Source organism: Homo sapiens, chromosome 4 (assembly GCF_000001405.40).
Source record: "Homo sapiens chromosome 4, GRCh38.p14 Primary Assembly".
NCBI lineage: Eukaryota > Metazoa > Chordata > Mammalia > Primates > Hominidae > Homo > Homo sapiens.
Genome location: NC_000004.12, coordinates 77,720,936 through 77,739,408, shown reverse-complemented (window position 1 = coordinate 77,739,408; position 18,473 = coordinate 77,720,936). Strand labels below are relative to the sequence as shown.

The 18,473-nt window shown below is 35.7% G+C and overlaps 1 protein-coding gene across 19 annotated transcripts in view, besides 1 other annotated feature; it reads left to right on the top strand.

Annotated features, from left to right (window-relative positions):
• The window catches only part of CNOT6L (CCR4-NOT transcription complex subunit 6 like), a 106,883-nt gene that overhangs the window by 80,861 nt on the left and 7,549 nt on the right, over positions 1-18,473 (top strand). For 17 of the 19 annotated variants that reach the window (NM_001387835.1, NM_001387836.1, NM_001365006.1 and 14 more), the window contains 3 exons: positions 7,871-8,022; positions 10,328-10,555; positions 13,040-13,242. In NM_001387835.1, coding sequence (NP_001374764.1) covers positions 7,871-8,022; positions 10,328-10,555; positions 13,040-13,242 — 583 coding nt within the window. The remainder of the gene's footprint in view (positions 1-7,870; positions 8,023-10,327; positions 10,556-13,039; positions 13,243-18,473) is intronic. The other 2 variants (NM_001387839.1, NM_001387840.1) reach the window with 1 other exon arrangement.
• Positions 4,352-4,411: an enhancer, noted in NCBI's record as "active region_21639". NCBI's record gives its function as "activates an Ori minimal core promoter by ATAC-STARR-seq in GM12878 lymphoblastoid cells {active_cell/tissue: GM12878}" and the evidence as "EXISTENCE:reporter gene assay evidence [ECO:0000049][PMID:35858748]".

Below are 18,473 nucleotides of genomic sequence, written 5' to 3'. Positions count from 1 at the left end.
GACCTGTTTCTTCATTTGTATATTCTTATCTTGTAAGATCATTTTTGTAGAGGTTACAAAACTAACAAAGATAACTGTGGAAGAGTAGTCAACACTGTACTTACTCTCAGTCTCTTTCTTCTGTAATCAGAGTATCTGATAATTCCTCATCTTCACTGATGACTGTTTAATCATACATGAAAAACTGGTACAGAATACGCAACAATAAATGGAAACTATCATAATTGCCATTTATAGCAAAATACTATAATAAAAATCTCTAATCCATCATGATGAAAGGATAGAGTATTGTTTAGTAAAGGCTAGGACACAAGTTACCAATATTCAGATAATTAGAATATAATACACTGTTCTTTAAATCACATTATTCTAGTTTAGTTTTGGGGGATTCAGAATCTACTTCAGGATTTGGCAGCACCTGTTTGGTCATCATTATGAACATCATTTTTTGGGAGTTAGATGCATAGAGATACTAGAAAATAGAACTTTGAGTGATAAAATACCAGATCTCAGCTTTTGCTTTGTCTTTTAACAAGTATTATTTACGTTCCAAAGCATTTTATAAAATACATTCATACATATGCATATGTTTCTTATATGTATATAATGTATATGTAGAAACTGAGTTGTAAATACATTTTTTTTTTTTTTTTTTGAGACGGAGTTTCACTCTTGTTGCCCAGGCTGGAGTGCAGTGGCGTGATCTTGGCCCACTGCAACCTCCGCCTCCCAGGTTCAAGCAATTCTCCTGCCTTAGCCTCCTGAGTAGCTGGGATTACAGGCATGCGCCACCATGCCTGACTAATTTTGTGTTTTTAGTAGAGACAGGGTTTCTCCATGTTGGTCAGGCTGGTCTCAAACTCCCGACCTCAGGTGATCTGCCCTCCTTGGCCGCCCAAAATGCTGGGATTACAGGCGTGAGCAACCGCGCCTGGCCGTAGATACATGCTTTAGACTCATAATTTAAATTTCTTTTTGCCATGTTTTGTCCTATAGACTTAACCATTAAGTAGAATTGGGTCTTGGAGCCAGATACACAACTTAATAGTGGGGGAAAATATGAAGATGAAAGCAGACCTATATGCTAGACTTGCTGTTCCTGAGGTTAGCAGTTCTGACCTCCTTATCATGCTTTATTTCAAGTCAATGAGAAAGGGAAAGATGAAAACAGCAATTTAGAACAGTGTGATCATTGCACTGTGAAGAGGCAATCTCTTATCATAGGATTGGGAACTTAGGTTGTCATGGCACTTAGTTCTTGCTGTACTTCCTAACCTGCTTCCATTCTCAGAGGTACCAGGTAAGGCCAAGTCCTTGCTTTTTTTTCTTCTATTATCACAGGTAGTTTTGTGCTTGGAAGGAGGGTTTTCAGAGGTCATAGTATCATTCCAAAATGGTACAGTATCATTACTGTTGTGATACTCCCATCTCACTGGTCTCTCAGTTATTAATTTCCTGTGTCATAGGTGGTTGTTGCATTTAGAATTTGTACGTAGGATTTTTTTTGAAAATGAGATTTTGATCTGTACTCTTCTGGTAATTTCTATTCAACCTGGATCATAACATTACGACTTTGTACTACAGTTTCTGTACCTTTCGAATATAGATAATAACTGTTCCACTTTAGAGGTTTCTTATGGGGTTAAAATAATGAATGTGGATGCACTTTCAGTGGTTAAAAGAGCTGTACAGTCTGGGCGTGGTGTTTCACCCCTATAATGGCAGCACTTTGGGAGTCTGAGGCGGGTAGATCACAAGGTCAGGAGTTAAGTCCAGCCTGGCCAAGATGGTGAAAACCTGTCTCTACTAAAAATAGAAAAATTAGCTGGGCTTGGTGGTGGGCGCCTGTAATCCCAGCTACTCGGGAGGCTGAGGCAGAGAATTGCTTGAACCCGGGAGGCAGAGGTTGCAGTGAGCCAAGATCGTGCCGTTGCACTCCAGCCTGGGTGACAGAGCAAGATTCCATCTCAAAAAAAAAAAAAAAAAAAAAAAAAAAAAAAAAGAACGGTACAAATATAGGATGTTATTTATCTACTTCCTTATTTAACCTGGTCTCTCAGCTTACCTTTTCCAATTAGTTACCTTCTGGCACTCCCATGATTACTTAAAGGGACCAAGAACACATTTTATATCATTTTATACTGAATATAGTAAGAACTTCTATTTGGTTTGGTTTTAACAGTGTTGGGATGTGATCCAGAAAGGGTCAGAGTTAACTTTGTGTGATTATACTATTGTCTTGACTGTGTATTACATTGCCCCTTTTTACTTGTAAATGAATTCAGGGATGGAATATTACTTAAATCCTATAGATTGCTTTAGTTTCTCATAGTTGGCAGTCACTGTCCTCTCTCTAGCATTAATTAATTACATCAGAGCCCACAAAGTTATTTTTAGACTACAAGTTGGTAAGAAATTGAGTTATGTCTTTATTTGAAGGACTGCTCTGGACGTGTTCTTTTTGCACATGAAACATCCAACCTAATAATAATTCTCAAATCATATAAGGGGATTTTTTGGTCATAGCAGTCTTTATTATATTAATATATGTTCTTTTATCCATTTGACCTTTCGTCTAGTTTTTTTTTCAAAAATGTGAATATACAGAAGAATTCTTAGAATAAAATATCATCAGGAATAATGCTTTTAGCATCTGTATACCAGTCACAGAGTATGAATGGTAAACTAATGTATCGAAAGAGACAAGTTTAAGATTTTCCGTATTACCAAGGCTGTATGGCTTGGAACAATGATTGGAAAGTAACTATAAACTAATATGTCTAATTGAGAAGAAACATCTAATAATAGAAAGAATGGCAGAAAACCTCTATATTTCAAAATGTTACCTGTATGGAAATCTGTGAAACAAAGTAGATGCAGAATAGAGTGCATTTGGTTTGTATGGGAAGGGAATGCAAGAAGTAGCATTGTTAAGGTAGTAGGGATAGAATATGGGTAATTATATCTTACTATATTGTAAATTTATTACAGTTATAAACAAGGAAATAAGATAAATTGTAGATTACAGCCATCAGCACTAATGCTAGAAATCTCATTCTTTTAAAAACAGAATATCTGAGAAAGTCTTAAAGTTCAAGAAACATATCAACACTCTTATTTACTAGAAAGAAGGAACTTTATTTGGTTCAACTAGTTTTCAACTCTCTCTTTGGTTTTTCAACCCTTGGTGAAGCTGAAGTGATAAAACTTGAGTGAGAATGTGTGCTCTAGAGTTTCTCAGTGGCAGTGGAAGGGAGTGTTAGTTATAATGACATATGCATCCTGTTTAGGAAGACTAGTTTTGCTTTTCTGGACTTTTGAAACCATGACAGTAAAAAGAAGGTACCTTTAAAAGATTGAGAAGTTTTAAAAGTCAAAAGTATGGCAGTATATACCAATGAGAAATAAAGTTGGAAGGATAGTTGCAAGCATCTGATAACCCAGTGGTTGCTCAAGATTTATGTTTAAAGAATTGTTATTTAAATGAAGAAAGATCAATAACTAATCATGTATTTTTAAAAAAGTTTAATGAACCTATGATCATTACTAAGAAACTTAAGAAAAAGAAAAGGCTGGGTGAAAGTGCTAAGGCAGTGAGGAGGATATTTTAACTAACATTATGCACTGTAAATAACAAGGAAGGAATGGACCCGCTGCAGACTGTATAATCAGTAATTGACGATCAACAAAAAACAGCTCTATACAATTTATGTTTTGCTTTCATGATTTCTATTGAGAAGAATTTTCCTCAAAGTAGAAACACTAAGACCAGGTAAAGAGGAGAATGGCAAACCAAGACGGTGAGATTGGTAAGCCAAGAGAGTCACTAAACTGCACTAACTAGTTAGGTTTTCAGATGAAGATAATTATATCTTATGGTATTAAAGATCTTACGGAAGTGTGGTTAGAGAACTGGCAAAGGTAATCTGTTATAAATATTGGAGTAGAGAAAAAAATTCTAGGATTTGGGGGATGGATGAACTATCAAACTTTTCAAAAAGACAGACTTGCCCAGCCTCAGTTTTCTTCATCTTTGTAATGGCAGTAGTAATACCTCCTGCTGCAATGTGGGTTCTCAGAGATAACCGAAAGAAGACTCGGAGATAGTTTGGTGTTCAGGAGTTTATTAGAAATCAACACCTGTGGAAAGGGGAGGAAGCAGAATTGGACATACGGAGAAAAGTGAAGTGTTGCAGGCCTGACTGCCTCAGGTGACTCAACAGGGAGCTTTAGAGCTTATATGGCCTGTGAGAGTTAAACCACAAGGGGCCCACATCCCTGGACTTTTAACTTTTGCTTTCGATTTCTAATTGGATGGTGGTGCTCCTAGAAGTATGTGACCATGAGTAGGCAGCTTTCTGCAACTGAAGCAATCCCTGATGAGGAATCTGAGCAGTATATCTCCATGTGCAAATTTTAGGACTAACATATATGAAGTACTTAACACAAATCTTGAGACTGGATAGATCCTCAATAATGGTAGCTTTCATTTTTTTTTTATTATTCTGTCCTATTGAGAAATTTAATTATTTTGAGAGAAGAGAATGCATGCTCATAACATTTATAAATGTCCAAAAGCTGGCAGGGATATTTAATCTATTAGAAAAATAGAATTAGATCCAATAGAAAAATAGAATTATATCCTGTAAATTTGTGCATCTATCTTACATATCTGTAAAAAATTAAAAATTAAATAGAATGAAGTTTCAGAGCACTTAATATCCGAATAGGTGAACTAATGAGCAGATGTTCATGAAGTGATACTTAACTGAGGTAAAGATTGCCGCTCTTAGATTATTAATGGAAGGAATAAAAAGAGGGAGGGACAAGAATCAGCTGAGACCACAGAAAAATATATGTAGCAATGTTCATTACGGCATTAGTTAAAATACGTAAGTAACTTAAATGTCCAACACAGGTTAAATAAATTATGGTGAATCTGTAGAGTGGACTATAATCCAGTCATCAAAATTGATTTGGAAGAATATTAAATGTTATAGGAAATGTCCCTGATAGAATAGTATTGTTCTAAATGCGTAAAAATATGTGTGTGTATGTGTGTAGAGAAAAGTCTGGGGAAATATATTAACTTTTAAATGGAGGTATTGGGTTATAAGTGACTTAGTTTTCTTTGTTCTCATATCTCTACAATAAACATATTTAATGTATCATTTTTTCCACGTTTTTGTTTTGAAGTACCTATAAATGCAGGACTGACAAGACCTGGTTTAAGAGCAAAAAGATCAAAACATTTCAGATATATGTTAGTTCCTGTTTGGCTTACAATATGACTTTCCCCAAAGTGAAGTTTTAGTCTTTATTAATGAAAATACAGTTAAAAAATGAAGAAGGCTGTAGTTCATTTATGCCCAGTTATAGGTACTGCACCTTTGGGTAAACTTGAGTTGTTCAAATGAACTTTTCAAAAAGACAGACCCAGTTGTCAGTTCAATTTAAATTTGTTGAGCAAATTTAAACAAATTGTTCAGATGAACAACATCACACATCATGTAAGTGTAACTGATCGTTTCTTTTCCGGAGAAGACATGGAGGGTGGGAGAGCATTGACATCTATTGTCAGATATTTAAAGTGGTGTCATTTGGAAGAGAAATTAGATTTAATGTATATTCTTGAAAAGATCTAGATCTAGTTTTAATGGAAAAAATGGGAGAAGAATACAGGAAAGCAAATTTTAGTTATTTCTTTTAATTAGAGTCCTATGCTCCCCTGCCCCTACGCCCCAAAGAATGACCTAGCTTTGGTAGAAGTAAAATTATTCCAGTTATAAAAATATTATAATTAACAGGATTTTTAAGACTTTTGTACAGAATCCTAGGTTCCTGTAAGTATACCATAGAAGTTCTGTGAATATTTAGAAGATATCTCAAAAATTAAATGTGAATAATTGAACTGTAATTTGAAAATAACATGTTCACTCACATGTTTCAAATACAAGTTTTAACATTTTGGAAATCATTAACGTGTTCATAAAGTACTGCTTAGTTAACTTGTTTTTGGTGCAGACCTCTGAATCAAATTTCTTCATGTCTGCTTCTTTTTTCTGAGTATAGGGCCAGTTATTTACCATTTATAGCTGTGTGAATCAGGATTTTTAATAATACTCTGTAACCAAAACAAAATACAAAAATTGGACACTGAGACTGATATAAAACTATATCATCTCTGTCCTCTGATTTCAAATTTTTATATTCATCAAAATAGGTTGCTTGTTTTCAGTGGTTGATTTATTCTAACATAATGCTGCTTTTATCTGTTTTATCTGTGGGAATCTCACCAGAAACTGTAAAAGGTATTCCACAGCTTAAAATTGTTTGAAGAAGTCTGATATGGACAATGGTCAATCCTGTCTATAGGACACATTTTGAAACTGCTCACTCCTCTTGATTTCTCTTGCCTTTGTTCAAGCCACCATCATTTCTCTTTCAGATAACCTCACAAACTTTCTAATCTGCTTCCCAGTTATCAGTTCTTTAATTGAGCAGCTAAGTGATCTTAAAAAACATAAATCAAATGATACCATGTCCTGGCTTAGAACTTTTATCTCTCCTCTTCAGCATCATTTCATACCCTTCCATTCTTTTCTAACACATAAACTTGCAGTGCTTTTTGCTGTCTCAGGACCTTTCACATTTTCTACCTGGGATGCTCTTAACCCCATTCTTCACCTTAGTAACTTTCATCTGTCATATTTAAGCTTATAGATTACCTCTTTAGAGGGTAGAAACTATAGTCACTTTAAGCACTCTGGGTTAGAAATAGGCACATAAACTGACCCTTTACACTTGTCAGTCCAGCTGACACGTTCAGAATTGGAGGAGGGAAGGGAATATTGCTTCATTTAGTGCAGCATCCTGTGGCATAGTAAGTCAATATTTTTGAAGAAACAGAAACTAGCTTCTGTTTTCAAAGCTTGAAGGAAAGTGAGGAGGGGATCTGTTACAAGACTATGTCTTCTCTCCACTGAACACCTAGTGCAAGTAATGTATTTAGTAGGTTTTGATTACTTATAAATATTTCACAAATTAATAAAATTAGACTGAAAAAGGTTAAATGACTTCACCAACATCCCACTGCAATTAAATGTCAGCACTAAACCAATTCTATTAAATCCTACAACTCTACAATGCTTAATAATTTGGCATTAATGAAGGAAAGAAAAAATTATTAGTGCAGAAGCTATAATCACAGAGAGAGTCATTTCTTCATCTTGCAGAATCTGTTTCTCAGAATACTTATACCCCATTGCAACTTTCTAGTAAAAGTCAGATGGAAAAATCAGTTACTCTTTAGCTGAGATAAAGGTGTGCCCCTGTATTTTGTTGACAAATATCTTGATGTGGTAGAAATAAAACTACAAACAGGGTAGGTGGATTGTATTCTTTTTATCTTTTTCTCATTAACTTAGTTGAGATTGTGTGCACCTTTAAATACCAGAAAATTCTAGCAGTAGCTTAAACAAATGAGGGAAGGGTGATTTTCTCACACAAGAAGTCCAGAAATAGGCAGTCCAGAACTGGTTCAGCTGCTTCCCCATTTTTAGAAGGTTGGCTTTTGCCTTCCTGCTTCTTATTTCATGGTCACAAGATGGTTATTATTTCTCCGAGCACTAGCTGTAAGGGGCAAGGTATAAAAGCATGAAGGGATATATATGCTGTCTTTGTTAGGTGGGGCCTCTGAGAAACTTTTTACAATAATCAGACTTCTTGTGTCTTAGTGGCCAGAACTGTATCACATGGTCACTTGCAGCTAGAAAATGACAAGGGAGACAATGCATGTCATGTTTCTTTCATTTAATATCTTTCAGCATGATAGTCTAGGTACCTAAAATTATAATAATGTACCTTTTAGATTTACATTGGTGCAGAAGCATACAGTGGAATTTAACCAAGTGGCGATGGCTAATTCAGATGGATCCGAAGCTATGCTGAACAGAGTGATGACAAAAGATAACATTGGTGTCGCTGTGGTATTAGAGGTCCACAAAGAACTATTTGGAGCAGGTGAGTGCAATGTAAAATATTCTTACTAAAAATAAACACCATCCCAAGTTTTTCCATCTCAAAACAAGTGAAGAGAATTTTGCCGTTATTTATTGCAAAGTTATTTTCTTTTGAGGAAAGTTAAGGGAGATGGGCAGGAAAATAGCACCATTGTGTAAAGCATCATATATTTGTTGGGATATTTTGTGCTCTCTATCACAGTCTTTTTTACTTACCAGATAATCTATGTAAAGTCTTTTTTAATATGCCATTAATCCCAAACAGTTCTTTTAAATAGGGAATATTTTGGTTAGGCTGAATTTAGAAATTATGATGACTTGGCCCTCTTTTTGAATTATATTTTTAGCTTGAGTGTGATTCTTTTGTCTTTAAGGTTAAGGACTTGGCACATTTCCTCTAGTTTCTTTGTTATATCTCAGTCATTGTCAGGGTAAGAGCAGGATCTTTTATCTACATGGTACTTACTTTAGCATTTTAGATTATTTATAGCTTCCTTCAGAGTCAGAAACTCATTATGTACTTCATACACAGACCTTTTTTATCCTTCTTACTGCCTGCCTTTGAGCATCTCACTGTTTACTAGTACATTTTAAGCAAGAAAGGAGTGAGACTACATCAGGGCTTTTTTTCCCCTGTACTTTTTGTAGAGGAAAAGATTATTTTGGACTAGAGTATTGATTTGAATTATTCAGACCATGCATATGTGTCAAACCTTCTTTTCTCACCATACTTCAATTTATTCCTTATCAAAGGTAATCTTTGATATGAAATTTTGGACTTTTTACTTTTCTTAGCCCCTCCGTTTTTATTTACCTTTATGTCCTTTACAATCTTATTCTTCCCAAAGTTTGGTACTTTTTTTTCTGATATTGTGGAGAATATCTTTTGGAGTTTTACTCCTCTTTTAATTTGCGGAAGAGTAATTCTAAATAGTAGAGACTTTTACGTTCTGAAATACATATCTCTTGTACTCATAGAAGGGGAATTTAGTAATATAGTGCTTATGGCTCTTTGAAGGGGAAAATTTTTAATATTGTGAATACTTAATCTATAGCTAAAAGTGACACTGTAAAACTGGGAAAAGAAGATCGCTTAGAAGATTTGGCTACAGACATTTATGATCAAATTGCTTTTAAGGTGACTATGTCAGATATAACAGATACTTCAGTTTCTTATTTTCTCAACATTGAAGATAATTATAGCTTGGTGAGACTGGAAAGAAACTTTAACAAACTAGTAGACTTAGAAAATTAGGTCTTTTCCCCCAAAGCTTATATTCCAATAGAAAAATTTGAGACGCTTCTATAGAAATTATAAAAGAAAAATTAAATTTGTATGTTTACGGATAGTCCAATGGTTTAAAGGTATGTAAAGTAAAAAGTGAGAGATCCCTCATGTCATTCATACTCTAGATTATAGCTCTTGTTGATTTCTCTATAGAGTTACTAACATACAGAATGTGAGTATATGTATTAATAGTTTTATATCTTGAATATTTTATGGACATCTGTCAGTAAATGTTAACTATGTTTAATTTTCAAAAATCTTAATGTATTCCATCTACCATTTGGAAAGTACTATGTTAATGTTTATTTTAACAGAATTAAAAAACATAGAATTATAGGAATAAAAAAAAAACCTTAGAGATATTCTAGTTGAATATTTCACTTCCCAAAAGAATCTGGTTAAATTACTGACCCAAAACTACATAAAATAATTAGTAAGAAAGCCAAGTCTAAAACCCACGTGTCCAGACTTTTATAGCACACTACTCTCTAATTCTGATTTTAAAAATAATGTTATTTCGGTATATGGTGTGAATTTGTTCAGGTAGCAGATGACTTTCTTATTTTATCTTATATAGGTTAATATAATTTACTGCCTTTACTGCTGACCTATCACAGTTGTGCTGTGTTGTGCTTGGGAAATGCAAGGTGAATGAGTACTAGACAGTAGTAAGAATTTAAATTGAGGTTTAGGTAACTCAACTGAAAACCTGCCTTACTACATTATTGTGCTATTTAAATGACAGATATTTAAAGGGCTATACCAAATTTGTGGGCCAGATTTAGCCCATGGGCTACAGTTTGCCAACTTGATCTAGGAGAGTAATTCCCATAGTAGGATTACCAGAATCTCAGCCCTTTAGCTTCTAAGAATTACTTTATGAGATAAAAGGGAAGTTATAAATTCATGGAAAAGAGTAAAGAAGTAGCTGTGGATCATATTGAGAAAACCTGAGGATGCCACATTTCTTCAAACATAAAGCATAACTTTGTCTTCTTTTTGTAATGTTTAAATTTAGGTATGAAGCCTATTCATGCTGCAGACAAACAGCTGCTTATAGTGGCAAATGCCCACATGCATTGGGACCCAGAGTATTCTGATGTGAAGCTCATCCAGACCATGATGTTTGTCTCAGAGGTTAAAAACATTCTGGAGAAAGCCTCTAGTAGGCCTGGAAGCCCAACTGCAGATCCTAATTCCATCCCGCTGGTGCTATGTGCAGATCTTAACTCATTGCCAGATTCAGGTATTTATAATATCATTTCCTCACTGCTTTCAATTTCACTTTTACTCTTGGTTCAAAGGCCAGCTAGCTCCTAAATTTTGAGTAGATAAATTAAGGAATGTATCATAAGAATTCCATGGATGGGACACAAGGTAATAGAAGAGAGTTTAATAAAGAAGCTATTACCAAAGGTGTTGCCTGGTTTAAGGGAAACAAAGCAATAAATGATGCAGTACTCTGCCACTAGGGGATTTAGTAATAGATCTCTTTACCACTCCTCTACCTAAAAGGGAAAGTGGTGGGAGCTGTCTGTCATTAGAACTTGGAAAAAATACAGTTGTAGGAAAGGGCCACATAATAGGAGTGATGGCTTTGAATTGCATGAAGCGGTCAATCCCTGGCAAACCAAAAAGAAGGGAGCCAGGGAAATATATATTCTTACCTCACTCTGCTTCTGTCCTTTCATCTCCTGCTAGGCTGCCCATTGATCAAATCCAACCAAAAGCTAGAGCGGGGAGGGATTTGCAGTTGATGCAATAAAGATCAGCTGCCTGAGGCACAGAGTGTACTGCAGAAGGGTGATCTGAAGGGGCAGCCAGAAAATATTCATTACGTGTAGCTCTCTAGTTTAATAATGTTAGCAACTTTTAAGTGAATTCATTAAATGATATTTGGATAATGTTAGTAGTTACAGAAGAATGATCAAAATTATCCTAGGGCTTCATATTACTTCTTGAGCTCCACTAAACTACTTTATGTCTGAACTTTTATCATTTTACTTTTTATAAAAATAATTTCTGCATTTTAGGTATCAAATGGAAAACATTAGACTATTACTCTTTTGCCAATACCAAAGCATATGCTAAATTTTGTATATTATCACTGCTAGGCTATTTTAAGTTATTTAAAGTAAGTAACAATAAGGTTACTATAAGATAACCTAAATGCCTACACTTGGAATATTAAAAAAAAGTCACTGAACTTGAAAACATCTTTTTCTTCTTAGCAAATAATGCTGAAATCATTGTTTATAAGTGTTTGTCTTTAACCCCTAGCCTAATTGGCACTTTAACCACATGCTCCTTTCTTAATCCTTTCTTAAGTTGAATTACTCTCAAGTGCAAGTTTTTCTCCCATTGTATTTGATTTGTTAAAACCAGTTAGTTGTCATTTGGCAACACAACATAGTGAAATGACTTTGGTACCAGACTGTCATGGTTGGATCCTGATTTTGCTACTTATGAACTATGCAATCTGTGACTAAGTTCCTCATTTTTCCTTTTTTTTTTTTTTTTTTTTTTTTTTTTTTTTTGAGACAGAGTTGTGCTCTTGTTGCCAAGGTTGGAGTGCAGTGGTGCAGTCTTGACTGCAACCTCTGCCTCCCGGGTTCAAGCAATTCTCCTGCCTTAGCCTCCCAGTAGCTGGAATTACAGGTGCATGCCACCACGCCCAGCTAATTTTTGTATTTTTAGTAGAGACAGGCTTTCACCATGTTGGCCAGGCTGGTCTCGAACTCCTGACCTCAGGTGCTGGATCCGCCCACCTCGGCCTCTCAAAGTGTTGGGAGTTTTACAGGTGTGAGCCACCGCACCCAGCCTAGTTCTTCATTTTTAACAAGGGGGGAATCATGTTATCTACTTCATAGAATTGTGAGATTTACATGAATAAAGCACTTAGAACAGTGCCTGGCATGTAGCAAATACTAGACAAATGATAGTGCCTTCTGAGCTATTTACAATACTGATATTGTGCTTATCACACATTCATTATATCTTACTATCAATCCTTATTACAAATAGAAAGATGACTCTAACAGTGCACTAATCATCATAAGGGTTTTGATACTGTTTTCATGTTTGCTAATTCAGTGGAAGCAGTGCACTTTTCTGAATGCTATTCTTCTCTTCAGCCTTGTATTTTTAGCCAAGTGGTATACTTCTGGCATATAATATGCTTTATAGTGTCAGACTGAGAAAACTCACTCTAGCTCAAAATAAAGAATGATATTGTCTAGCTGACATTAGACATTGAAATGTTGAAGATGCAAAATCTGTTTTTGTTGTAAACTATTTTTATTAATATGCTCTACTTATATATTCGCAAAGTTGTTGATTGCTTAGAATGGGGAAATACTAAAGAGATAGTGGTTTGGAATAATTTTCCAAAAACATTTAGGGTTAATACCTTCCTGGTGAATGCCATCCTAGGTCCTGGAAATCATCTTTAGCCTGAAAAACCACTAAGAAAACTAAGGATATCTTTGAGTGTTCCTGATATATTTTGTTCTGAAATAGGCAAACATCCTTTGATTCATTTGCTTGACTCATATGAAATGGCTGGTATTTGATTTTTTATTTTTAAACAACAACAAAAGGCAGTTTTATATGGCTCAACCTAAGAAGACCACTCTGAGCCTGGTGGATTAACCTGGTAACAAGTCTTGGCTGTGAAGCCTTGTGTAAGGTCTAAATGCTAAATGGAAGTGTCTCTTCTTTATTCTACCAGGTGTTGTGGAATACTTAAGCAATGGAGGAGTAGCTGACAACCATAAAGACTTCAAGGAACTAAGGTACAATGAGTGTCTTATGAACTTCAGCTGCAATGGAAAGAATGGAAGCTCAGAAGGGAGAATCACACATGGCTTCCAACTTAAGAGCGCCTATGAAAATAACTTGATGCCTTACACCAATTACACCTTTGATTTCAAAGTGAGTGGCAGCCTTTGGGCAGGTGTAGAAATTATTTCAGATACAAGCATGTAACAAAAAAGGTGTAAATTCTTTATGATTAATTGTATAATCTTCAGGAATTTTTAGATTCTTAAAATGTCTAGGCTAAGTATGCACCTAAATATAAGTAGGTTTATTGGGTTTTGTGGCTATTGTTGTCTTAAATTCTTCTTGCTCTCTTGCTTGTTTAGATTTCAAATAATATAATAACAAAAACTTCTAAAATGCTCACTAGGTACCAGGCACTGGTCAAAGCACTTTGTATATATCAATATAGTTAACCCTCACCTGCTCAAACCATCCCTAACTTTCAGCAGTAACCTCCCTCCCCTAACCTCCCGCCCCCCACAGAAAAGCACCGAATATAGCAAAACTCACTTTGAATGAATTTATATAGTATTTTCTCAAGATTTTCTTTCTACTTTCCATTGATATCTTAGTATCTTTAAGTTTTTCAGGTTATTTTTGGGTATGGGGTTAGAGCAGGTTGTACTTTGGTTCTACTTTATATCTGTGTATTTATACTAATATATTCCTAGGCAGTGGGACACTCTAAAAGGAAAAGAAAGACATTTTTTGACAAATATGAAAAAAAATGGAAAGGCTGATTGTACAGGACCAGCTATTCTTTAGAAAGACAGATTGTGGTGGCTTTATGTAATCTCTTTCCCAGTGCTAGTTTTCTGATCACTCTGTGTACCTGTAGCTCTGCTATTATACCTCTCTTTGACTTTCTGGCATTTCAGGCATCTATAGTAGAATCTTATACTATCTGGAAAAATCCAAGTGTTAGAAAGTGGTTTGGTATAAGAAGCCTAGAGGAAATTTAATAAAATACCAAAGGAAATTTACAAATGGCCTCCCTTATATTTCCAATAACCTTTTTCTATTTTTGTGTGGGTTAGCTCCTGTCCAAGAAACAAATAGGAGGAAGAAAAGAAATTCGTGTGTTGTTACTAATCAGCTTTCATAATCATGAAGAGAAAAAAAATTGCTTAGAAATTGAATCTAATTTAGTATTTTTGCTATTAGAAAAGATAATTCAATCCAGCGATAGTTCATTTTGTTCCAGCCACTTGTATGTAGTGATGTGCTGGTAAATATTTAATAATGAGCTTTTTGGGAAAAAGCTCTGATTTGTGGTGTTTGCCGATTTCTGTGGTTTAAGTACTTCTGTAGCAGAATCCTATCTTCCAACATGATACCATTGAACATAGAGTTGGGAAGAGGTGCTAAGAAAGCTAGCACTAGCTGACTCTAGCACATCATTGCTTTTATGTAAGCTTAAAGGAATACCTTTTAATGATACAGTTTACCACAGCTTAAATCCTATCCTTGTAACTATAGTGATATATATCTGCCAGCGTAACCCAGAAAACCTGTGATAAAGTTCCCGAAAATAAGTGTTTAGTAATTCTGCAACTATTATTATTGTTCAGGTATGTGTGTAGGTAAAAAGAAAAAATTTTATTCTATTTCACATAGCCCTTTTTTTTTTTTTTTTTTGAGATAGGGTCTCAGTTTGTCACCCAGGCTGGAGTGCAGTGGCAAGATTTTTGCTCACTGCAGCCTGAAACTCCTGTGCTCAAGACATCCTCCTACCTCTGCCTCCCAGGTAGCGAGGACTACAGGCACACACCACCATGACCAGCTAATTTTTTGTATTTTTAGTACAGACAGGGTTTTGCCATGTTGCCCATGCTGGTCTCAAACTCCTGGGTTCAGGCCATCTGCCTGCCTCAGCCTCCCAAAGTGCTGGGATTACAGGTGTGAGCCACCCTACCCAGCCTAGATTTTTTTTTTTTTGAGACAGGGTCTCACTCTGTCACCTAGAGTGGCACAATCATGACTCACTGCAGCTTCACCCTCCTGGGCTCAAGCAATCCTCCCACCTCAGCCTGTTGAGTAGCTGGGACTACAGGTGTGTGCCACCATGCCTGGCTAATTTTTGTATTTTTGAGGGGTTTTTTTTGGTAGAGACAGGGTTTCACCATGTTGCGCAGGCTGGTCTTGGGCTAATTTTTGTATATTTGAGGGTTTTTTCTTTTGGTAGAGACAGGGTTTCACCATGTTGCCCAGGCTGGTCTTGAACTCCTGGGCTCAAGCAATCCGTCCACCTCAGCTTCCCAAAGTACTAGGATTACAGGTGTGAGCCACTGTACCCAGCCTAGACTTTTTTAAAGCTTACTTCTTCCTTGTCCATAAATAAAAATCAGAGAAACACAATTTGGGACATTAATCCACCTTCCTCAGTCATCTGAATTGGTTTAAAATTATTTACTGACAGTCCTTCAAAAGCTCTTACATGTGTTAGTAATTGAATCAAAAATCCTATTGAGCCATTTACATTGTTCAAATAAGTATGGCTAAAGAACTAGAAATGCCTGGCTCAGAGAGTGTTTGATGTTTGGATGTATAAGATAGGATCAGAGAGAAGGATAAAGGTATAAGTTGGTGGGAGAGAGTAATATATGGGAAGATAAATAGGCTGGCTGGATAGATAGATGGGATGAGACAATAGAATAGTATTTCAAGGAAGGATGGCTAGAGACTAAGGGCACACCTGAGTAGAGAGAATTGAGCTCTTAGTCCAAGTAACAGAAAATGAACTTTTCAGTTTTATACATATATTTTACATAGTTAATGCTATCCCAGTATTGAAAGCAATCAGTAAAAAAGGGTAGGTAACATCAAATATAAAATGCCATGTGATCAGCATCAAATGCAGATCCAATTGTATTAGTGAGGGGCCATTGTATCAGTGAGGTGTTAAATTTTGTTTGCTTAGCTTAGTATTTGTTTACTTTCTTCGTCCTTGAACAAGCTAGAAATGTAGAAAAGAGTTATTTAGAGCTCAGATTCATTTAATTGCAAACTGATTTGGAATGAACTGAAGGGTAAACAATTAGAAGGATTACTCCTTTTTCAACATTACTTTCAGACCAGGTAAGTTTAATAAACAGCTTAATTCAAACCTACTACTGCTGCTCCTCACCCCACGTTTATCCTCTAATCTGAGGGTGTGCCCAAATCATTTAATAAAAAAAAGGAAGGGCAGCTTTTATTTTATAGCAAATAGTAAACTTTTCTGTTACATTATGAAATTGTAATTTTCTGGCATTCTTTTAAAAAAGCTTAGCATAGTGGTAACAGACTATTAATATTTTCGTTGTGTTTTGACTTTTTGTTGAAATACAGTTCTATAGACTTATACAATAATAGTCTTTACTAATATAAAGAGTGCATTTTCCCACATTATTAATATTAAATATTTTAAGAAAGAAACTGACTCAAAAGGGTTAAAAATCATTAGTCTATAACCTTTTTTGTGCATATGATCAAAGTTAGGGATCCTCCTCATAGATGCATATGTACAAATATGTTGGGTGAATTCACAGACATAACCTGGCTGAGAGTTTTGATAAGAGTTTTTACTCTGGATATTTCAAACCATGAAAATAGTTACAAGTGATGCATTCAATTAAAAGCGTCTTACTTCCTGGAGTGTTTAACTTTTTCTTGGGGCCTACGTTTGCAAAGAACTCTAGCAGTTGATGTGCATGACGGCACTCTAATAAGGTTGTAAGATATAGGAGGGTTTGTCGCCCAGGCTGGAGTACAGTGGCGTGTTCTAAGTACACTGCAACCTCTGCCTCCCAGGTTAAAGCAATTCTTGGGCCTTGACCTCCCTAGGAGCTGGGACTACAGGTGCACGCCCCCAGACCCAGCCATTTTTTTTGTATTTTTAGTAGAGAGGAGGTTTCACCATGTTGGCCAGGCTGGTAATTAACTCCTGGCCTCAAGTGATCTGCCCGCCTTGGCCTCTGAAAGTGCTGGGATTACAGGCATCAGGCATGAGCCACTGTGCCCAGCCCTATAGGAGATTCTGTTCAACATAAGTAATTGAGATTATTTCATGTGTTTTATTTTAGAATTGAAGCAAAAAGTTGTCTCATAAGGAGAAGTAAAACTACCGTGATCCTTGTAACTCATTTTCTAAAATATCACTGTAAAACTAGGCATTATAACCAAAATGAAGGGATAATACCTTATGATCCTATCATTTTTTGACTGTTTAAACTTGGAGTCCCCTGGACTCATGTAAGTTCCTTAATTTGTGGTAAAGTAAGGTTGGATAAGGGCTTCTTTTTTTTTTTCTTTTCTTTTATTATTATTTTTTAAGAGACAGAGTCTTGCTGTCAGCCAGGCTGGAAAGCAGTGGGACAATTATAAGTAGCTTGAAACTCCTGGCCTCAAGTGAGCCTCCTGCCTCAGCCTTCCGAGTAGCTGGGACTATGGGTGCCTGCTGCTACACCTGGCTAATGTTTAAATTTTTCGTAAAATCCTGGGTCTCATTATGTTTACCAGGCTGGTCTTGAACTCCTGGACTTAAGCCATCCTCTTGCCCCCACTTCCCAAAGGGCTGGGATTACAAGCATGAGACACTGCACCTGAATCTTGTCTCTTAGAAGAGGAACAGTTTTGGTGTTTTGATATTGGTCAAATGAAAATCAACAAACTGAAATGATTGTGTCCAAAATCTCACAATAAAAAAATTTGTTTTCATTAAAAGTTTTTATTTTTTAAGTAGCCCATTTCATTGTAATACCATTTAAAGTATTGGCTGGAACTCATGTATAGTATTTGTAAATAGGTTTTTACAGGTGTAGAAATATTTCTCCCTACTTGGGCTCAGGCTATCTTGATATGAATAGGAACTAGATAGGAAGAAATTTGATTTTGCTGTCTTGCATACACAACCTGGGATAATAAAAGCCCCCTGGTTTTAGACTTACTGATCAGACAAATCCAGTCATCTAGCTCTGACAGATAAAACTGCTATGTATGGCTTCCTGCTGAATGATTTTTGCTGAGTTGTCTTTATGTAGCAAGGAAATCCAGAATTTACACATATTCCAGTATTTGTGAAAATGAGTATTTTAAATTAAGAATAGAATAGTTAACTGTGTAGTGTTTTGTATGTATGTAGCAAATCTGGGAAAGCTAGACTAGGATTAGCAAATCCATAAACATGGTTTACTATAGCTTCAGTCAGGTGTGTTTGGATATCTTGATATGCAAATAATTGAAAATAATACCGTTAACTATGTATGTGCTCATATAAATATTCTTATTTTCTACTTATTATAGCCAATAGGATTAGTACAGGCTCCATTATATTTATACTGATATGTTGGATTTCACTAAAC